The sequence below is a fragment of the Homo sapiens genome, chromosome 6 (assembly GCF_000001405.40).
Source record: "Homo sapiens chromosome 6, GRCh38.p14 Primary Assembly".
Taxonomy (NCBI): domain Eukaryota; kingdom Metazoa; phylum Chordata; class Mammalia; order Primates; family Hominidae; genus Homo; species Homo sapiens.
The window spans coordinates 11,873,033-11,881,985 of record NC_000006.12 but is presented as its reverse complement, the minus strand read 5'-3'; the positions used below and the strand labels follow the sequence as shown (position 1 = coordinate 11,881,985).

At 39.4% G+C, this 8,953-nt stretch overlaps 1 annotated feature.

Moving 5' to 3' along the window:
• Positions 4,802 to 5,021: an enhancer, noted in NCBI's record as "active region_23998". NCBI's record gives its function as "activates an Ori minimal core promoter by ATAC-STARR-seq in GM12878 lymphoblastoid cells {active_cell/tissue: GM12878}" and the evidence as "EXISTENCE:reporter gene assay evidence [ECO:0000049][PMID:35858748]".

Sequence of the window (8,953 nt, the reverse complement as noted above, 5' to 3'; positions counted from 1 at the left end):
AATAGGAGTGGTGAGAGAGGGCATCCCTGTCTTGTGCCGGTTTTCAAAGGGAATACTTCCAGTTTTTGCCCATTCAGTATGATATTGGTTGTGGGTTTGTCATAAATAGCTCTTATTATTTTGAGATACGTCCCATCAATACCTAGTTTATTGAGAGTTTTTAGCATGAAGGGCTGTTGAATTTTGTCAAAGTCCTTTTCTGTATCTATTGAGATAGTCATGTGGTTTTTGTGATTGGTTCTGTTTATGTGACGGATTATGTTTATTGATTTGCATATGTTGAAGCAGCCTTGCATCCCAGGGATGAAGCCAACTTGATCGCAGGTGTGTCTTACATGACGACAGGAGAGAGATCGCGAGCAAAAGCAGGGGAAACTGCCTTATAAAACCATCAGATCTTGTGAAAACTCACTCACTATCACAAGAACAGCATGGGGGAAACCCCCATGATCCAAGGACCTCCCATCAGGTCTCTCCCTTGACATGTGGAGATTATGGGGATTATAACTCAAGATGAGATTTGGGTAGGGACACACAGCCAAACCATGAAATGAATGCAGGCCATCCCTGAGATACTCAGGACTCCTCTGCTTGGTGACTTTGACTTAAAGACTTCAAATGAGCCTGGCAAACTGTTCATGGAATTTTCTTGACACTTTCTTGGAACATTCCAAGACTCTTCCTACTCAGTGGATGTCCATCCCCCTCCTCTCCTTCACAGGTGTCATGTCTGCTCCATGGTCCGAAGGCTCTGCCTGCCTCCTCTGCTGCTCTTCTCCCTTTCTTCTTCATAGATTTGTACCTCATGCAAATCTAATATCACCTTGGCATCTACTTTTCAGAGGATCTGAGCTGGCACAGTTGGCTGGTGACACAACCACCAAGTACTTTACACATCTAGACCTAGTTATAGGAATGGATATATTAAATAGATGGACCTGTAGATATATAATACATCATACTATATAATATGTAGCACTATGTGCACAAACACATGCATTGTGCAGGATGATTTGATCATCACAGAGTATCATTGATATGAAAATTCTGGTGGGGACAGGAACAATGTGGCTCACCAGTAGCCAAGTAACTATCTCCCATGTATCAATCCACAGTAGGGTTCAAATTCACGCCTTTTTAATACTACAAATTCTAATGTCATCAACCTTCACAGCTAGTCATAAATTTTTGAAAGAACAAAACTCTACATAGCCTTGTAGATGGAATGTTCTCCAAATGCAGACACATACTATATTTGCATAGTCCAATGAGGTTGCCACTAGCTAAGTGTGGCTATTGAATCCTTGAAATATGACTAGTGTGACTATGGAAATTTTATGCTATTAATATGTTTAATATTATTTAATTTTAATTATTTAAAATTTAAATTTTAAATTTAAGTAGGCACATGTGGTTAGGAGCTACCATAATGAACAGTGTGGGCTATAGTATGTCACAAATCCTTACCTTAGTTCCTATTCCAATAATTACTACCTGATATGGTTTGGCTCTGTGTCCCCAACCAAATCTCATCTTATAGCTCCCGTAATTCCCACGTGTTGTGGCAGGGACACAATGGGAGATGGTTGAATCATGGGAGTGGGTCTTTCCCATGCTGTTCTCATGATAGTGAATAAGTTTCATGAGATCTGATAGTTTTAAAAATGGGAGTTTCCCTGCACAACCTCTCTCTTTGCCTGCCGCCATCCATGTAAGATGTGACTTGCTCCTCCTTGCCTTCCGTCATGATTGTGAGGCCTCCCCAGCCATGTGGAACTGTGAGTCCAATTAAACCCCTTTCTTTTGTAAAGTGCCCAGTCTTGGGTATGTATTATCAGCAGCATAAAAACAGACTAATACACTACCTGAGACCAGGCCTTCATCCTCACATGCCTGGACTCTTACAATAGCTTTCCAAATCTTCTCCATGTTTCACCTCTCCTAACCCCTAGTTAGCCTCTAAGTTGCCACTATGGTGATTTTTCTAAAATACAATATCAGGTCACTTCCCAGCTAAAAAGACCTCCCAGAGGTGAGACTGTGGCTGACTCAATTGATGCATTCTCTTCCTTTCCCTTATACCTGGCCCCATACCTACTTGGTGGCTTAATAAATGTCTAGTGGGAGAAAAATGAACATATTTCAACTGTAGGATATTCTAGAATAGTTTGTCTTAAGTTACCCTAATTTGAGGAATTAGGCCTCCTAAATTAGGAAGACAATGAGGGCATATTTTTGGGAGGTGACATAAACATGTATAATCTTTATAAGACTTACTGCATTCTAATGGGTAGGCCTTGTTCCCAAGCATCCCCTGGCTATTATCAATGCAATGGGCAGGAGAAAAAGCGCATTTCTGGACCTCTTCCAAAGTGACCCTCTGTGAGACAGCCACCCTGGCTCAATATGACGGAAATAAGTTTCTCAAGAAGGGAAAATCTTATTTGTGAAACATTAGACACCGTTTTCAGTCCAATGAATCACTTCATTATTTCACTAATAAATCCATTGCTTTCCTTAGTAAAGCCTCTCCTTAGCAAGGCGAAACATGAGTAAAAGGAATATGATCAATAGCAAAGCTTATTTAAGTTTGATCCTTGTCATAAAAAACATTTTGAGTATTAGCAGTGTTTTCTGTTTCTAAGGGACAAGTGCATGCACACACACACACACACATACACACACACACCCTTGAGTGTATGTTTGAATACATGAAATCCCCAGATGTGCACAAGAATTTTCCTCTTCTCCTCCCCCCAAAATGTACTTCTGTTTTCATCCCATTAGTGGGTCTTCCCACAGAAAACACTGCCCCCTCCCATTGCAGTCTTCTCAATGGGGGATGCAGTTGGTTTCTCTGCTCAGTGAACTTTCCTTTTTTCAGGGAAGAAGATTTAATTGCAGGGTTTCACATTAAAAAATAATGTTTAGACTGGGAGGGATCAGCCACATTCAAGGAATGTGGTTTGCTCAGAAATGAGTGGCGCAAATCCCCTGCTTTTTGCCGGCAGGGAACTCAGGAAGAAACTCTTTGGCTGTTGTTGAAATAATCCATATTTGATTACATTTCTTTCAAACAAGTGCTTGATTCACTTGGAACCCAGTTGTTAGGCTTGATGCATGGTCAAAAAAATCTACAACTGCATATGTTGGTCATATGCATGTGATTGGAAAATCCCATAATTCATTTGCTGTAAAGGCAGGCTCCTAAATATTTTTTGCATACCGCAATAACATTTAATTATTTTGCAGCTTGCAATTATGACTCTGACTGTTCTAAATCCTTTGCCTTGCTTTATCATTAGTGACAAAGTTGTACTGTTTTAATTCAGCTCAGGCATGAAAGATGATTTTATTATATGCTTGTCCCTTCCTTGACCAGAGGCTAAAAAAGTCACTTGTCTGATTAAGCCAGCTACAAACTGCAGGAAGTAAGATATCACCTGGAGTAGCCTGTTTATTGGGAATACACTAAAATAAAGTGGTAGGAAACAGCTCTCCCTGCAATTATACATCAAGCTCTAATTTTCCATTCTGAAACATCAACATTCAACCACTAAATCTGATTTTCTTGTGCATGTCACTAGCTTTATGCTTTAGCTCAGACAGTGAAATTCCCCAACTCATCCTCCTGCTGTTCAGCTTTTTGTTGTGGCTGCATAGCAAAGCTCATGTTATCTTACTCCTTTGGAAAAGGCACTCTGAAAGTTCCTTTCCCCCTGTTAAAAACCGGACATGCTTATTGGCAGGCTGAAGCATATAATGCAGCCATGTATACATTTATTTCCAGTGTGAATGTCTTTACTCATAGTGAAGAGAGCAAACTGTTGCACTAGCAAACTGTTGCAGATGAATGATTTCCTTGTCAACAGGACAATGATGTAAAAGGCTTGTTAATACGGACATATTTGTACAATCTCTACATACTTGAAAAAAGCCGGATGAAAAAGAGTATATACTGTGTGATTCCATTTGTGTAGAGTTCAAAACAAACAAAAAGAACCCCAGGTGTTGGAAGCCAGCGTAGTGGTTACTCCTGAGGGGCTAGACTAGAAAAGGCATAAGTGGTGTTTCTGGGTGCTGATAGTGTCCTGGTTTTTGGTCTTCATTATGGTTACATGGGTGCGTTCACTTCATGGGGATGTATGGAGGGTACACTTACAATACATGCACTTTCTGTTTGTATCATATGTTTCAATCAGAGGTTGACACTAGAATACACTGAACATGTTCTTCATGCAGGTCATCAAGATAGTAAGGATTTGAGGGTTTGGACCTAAGACGTTCTGCATTTAGAGCGCAGGATGTTACTGCTGTTTTTCTTCTTTTCTATGTCTCATGACTATTAAGCACCAAAATGCCACACTGTAAATGACCAGTTCCAGTTCTTTTTCTGAGAACATAAGCTGATTGCTTGCTTTCCTGGTACATAAACATGAATTGAGTGTGATGAATTTTTCAAAAAGCATTCTATGGCAAAGACAGCTCCAAGAATAAACACCAAGGCCTCTGCCCATGAAGAGAAGCATTTTAAACAATACTCTCAGCCACCCCCAATCCAACTGCCACCAAACAGTTGAGCTGAAGGGTGAAAGCCCAAGTGCGCTGCAAAACCTGTGAGCAGGAAGTCAGACAGCATAGGTAATGATATCTACTCAGAGCCAGATTCACATCCTACTTAACTCCACGGGAATTCTCAACAGTTGGTCTTGACAACTCCGGCAATGCCAAGGTTCATTAACCTATTTGCGGGTGCTCTGCTTTCTAATCCGCCTGTGTTTAGAAAGAAACGTCCTCAAAATTCTCTGATGCAGCCTGCCACCTGGGTTCAGGGTTGAGTTCATGACGCATTTTGGGACTCGAGATGGGAAGTGAAAGCTTTGGGTGATTCTGAAGTCGAGAGTTTTTCAGTTGGTAATCCCATGAAACATTTAACATCAAATTCACGGTCATCAGAGGAGGCATGGTAGGTAGTCTTCAATGGTTGAGCAAACCTTCCTAGCCTACTATTTATGAAACTAGAGTGTGCTAAAACCCCCAAATATCTGAACCTTTTAGGGTAGACAAAAGAGAACCAGAGCATTTCCTCATGTCCTTCGTTTATTTCTTAGGACGCATGTCTGTGTTTTTCTGCTGAACTGTGGAGTGGGATTTCTGAATCAAATGGTTCCGCCCCATCACCCTGGAGAGCTGGACAACTCTTGTTTGATGGTTTCTATTATGGGCTACCTTTGAGAATCACATTATTTCTAAAACACAGGGACTGCAAAATCTTTTGCTGGGTACTGTCCTTTTTGAGACATTATAGGATGTACAAATTGCCCTCAAGTATTTTCCTGTGTAAAAGGACCGTTGAGTTAACCCTTCATAGTGGGGTTTCTGATATACAATAAGTTTGTTATAACAAGATATTTTCCAAGATTCACAGGAATGAGTCCTCTGGACAGGGGCCAAGACTAGCTTGCCTGCCACTGACCCTGTGATAGATACCCAGAGAAACGATGGAGACAGTCTCTTATATATTAACGGTCAGTCTGCTCTGGTTTCTAAATCTTTCTTTCTTTCTTTCTTTCTTTCTTTCTTTCTTTCTTTCTTTCTTTCTTTCTTTCTTTCTTTCTTTCTTTTCTTTCTTTCTTTCTTTTCTTTTCTGTCTCACCTTCCTGCCTTCGTTTCTTCCTTCCCTCCATCCCTCCCCCACCTCCTTCCTTCCTTCCTTTCTTTCTTTTTTTTCTTTTTTTGGTTTTGGATCAAAACTTTAATAAGGATTCCAGAACAAATAACAGGTAAAATCATGGAGCCTCCAACAAAGCAGAATTGGCATAAGTATACAGCATTTCTGATCTCCCTTTAAAAATCAGCCATCAGCCTAAGATGTGACCACCTTCACTTCAATTCACTGTCAGGTATTTTTTTTAGGTCTAATACTAGAAGATAATTGTGCCTCAATTAAAAGACAAAGTCTCTTAAAGCTACAACTTTTCAGAAGTCATTAGGGAGCGAGTACTAACAGCAAAGGTCCTCATAGTACACCTGGCGACGTGGGAACTGCAAAGGAAGGCTTGTTAGCACAGGGTTCCACAAGGTTTTGCTGGATGAAATAATCGTGTGTATATATCCTGTCTTGGCCTTGGGAAAGAACAAGTTATTTCTGACTGAACTATAATCCAGAATTCTGTCAGTACCTCAGAGTACTAGACAAGCAAGCTCCTGGTTATCCAGGGACAACGTATAGTGCCACTGAAATGCCTTCTGTTTGAAATAAGTAATATGATTATTTGAGATGTAGCATTCAGTGTGCTTTATCATACTACCGATTTTGAACAAATCTTTCCTTTCTGCAAATCGCCTCACAAATAACCTCTTTCCCAGGAGTCACTGGGACTAATTGTTTTGAGAACATAAAGTACTAAGCTTGTCCCTGAGAGTGTATTGACAGAAGCTCATAGTATTCAGGGCAAGTAATTGGATTGTGCTTTTGTGGGCTTGGAGGGAGGGCGGTCAACCATACGCTGCTTTCTAGGTGGAAAGAGGGCTCTGTTTCTTAGCAGAGCAAGGGTTGGAACCAGGACTGCTGATTCTTGTTGCAGCCCACCTTGTCACATACTTACTTTTGCAAAACCAACCTATATTAATCTTCTGAAAGCTGGAGTAAATGATCTACAAATCATGAGTGAGTGGCCACAGGATTGCAGGGGTTAGCTGGAGTGGCAGAGATAGAAGTAGTATTTGATGGAGTCTTGGCATTTTTCTGACAATACCCTGCAAAGATTCCTTGTTGAATTAACCAAAATGTTGAAAAGCTAGAAGGCAAATTTTTTGCTGCTATACCTTTCTGCTGGTCTCCTCATGATTCTTTATTTATGTGACACTAACTCTATGTCCTGTACAAACAGCTTTTAATATATGTAGTAGCACTAATTAAAGCAAGGGAGCTGGAGAAAGGTTTACCTCATTAAGAGAAGCAGCTTTTGTTTTGTTCTAAAGGGCAGCCTGAAACACATTTCATCACTGTTGCTTCTTTAAGAGTATGATTTGTCTTTGACGAGTTCCATTATGAAGAGTAAGTTTAAGGTCAGTGCTGAGAAGAAAATAACTGTGCGTGTGTTTGGGATTGCATCCTCCAGAAAGAGAGGAGAGAAATGACGAATGTGATGTTGACATCAGATTAGAGGCCATGCACCTAGGGAAGATAACTGGGATGCCAACTTTAGTATGGAAAAACATGCATGGGTGAATGATTCAGCTATTCCCATCGGAGCTACTGATCTCATGTATGGCATACACGAACTTTTGGGGGTTTGGGCCACTTGTAATATAGACTGGTTATTATCTATCCATTAAACCCACTGGATGTAGCTATAATCTGTTAAGATAAAAGGCAGATTTCATTGTCTTCAGATGAAACAACTTTTGTTTGAAGCTAAACAAAACCTTTCAGCCCCTCTCAGGATAAAAATTAAAGTCTTTATAAAGACAGACAAAATGGACCCCAGATGCTCTCCCTCACTCTGTCCTGGCAATCATTCCCCTTTTGTGGGTTCTTGAACACCCTAGCATGCCCCTTCCTCAGGGCCCACATTGTCCTAGATAGATATTCCCTTGATATGGGACAATCCTCTCCATTCTTTTTTCTTTCTTTCTTTCTTTCTTTTTTTTTTTGTAAAGATGGAATCTGACTATGTGTCCCAGGCTGGTCTCAAACTCCAGGCCTCATGCAATCCACCTGCCTCGGCCCTTCACATTTACCTGGCTCACTTTTTAATTTCCTTTAACTCTTTTCTCACTTTCAACCTCAATGAGGCCCATACTGCCAACCCGTTTAAAATTGTAGCCCCTCCCTCAGCACTCCTGGTTTTCGCTTCCCTACTGAGCATGGACATGGATTCATTGATTTGCCCTGGTCTCCATCTGTAACCTGCGTGACATCTTCCCAGAGCACATTTCATATTCTAAAAATAATAATACTTACTAAGTCATTATGTTTACTTTAAATTGTTGACTTTTCCCCCACTAGAAGGTAAACTGTCAAAGAGCAGGGGTTTTTGTTTCTTTCGTCTGCTGATGAATCTGTAGAACCTAGAACGGTGCCCAACATAGAGGTGTTAGTAGTATATCTGTTGAAGGAACAAACAAATGGTTGACTCTGTTGGAGCCCTGGTGAAGAATTAGGTACACAGAAAACTAAGCAATAAAAATGTAAGGTGATTATTACCACCATTAGAAAAAAAATCCTCAAAAGTTGTCTGAGTAAGAAAATATAATCTTGGCTCAGAAATAAGCAGTATTTATAGAATCAAGATACTGTCATTGCTGAATATTGATTAAACAAACATTTTGTTTTATCTTTATTGGGAAATGAGAAGAGTGGAAGGAAGGTGATGGTAATGTAAGAGAGCCAGGTCCTGATCTACTGTAATAGAAAGTCAAGAGAGAATGGCCTAAAAGTGATAAATCTAGAAATTATGGAGAAAATATGTTATTTAGCAATATGAATTGTCTCTGAGGGTGTGGGAAAGAGTGGGGTTGGAAACATGTTTTTCATTATAAAATATATTACTCTTTGACTGTGTACAGCATACTACCTTGATAATAGTAAAAAAACATGAAAAAAGGAAAAAAGGAAAAACATTCCACAAGCCCCTTATTCAGAAAGTACTACATTTCTCTTCGAATTTTTTTAACTTTTCTTCTTAAATATTTTCAGATAATTAATACTATTTATTCTCTGAAATATAAAATTGGATATCATGAAGTATTACAATTGCTAGATTATTAAAAATTGTTAAAGATTTAAGTATAATTCATATAGTAGATAAATTATAAATTATCTATAAATAGATAATTTATGTATGATGATTTAAATAAGTAATTACATTTTCTTTTCTTATATATTCCACATTTAAAGTGATAACATTGAACTATTTCCAATGTTCATTGGATGCTTAGATTTTTT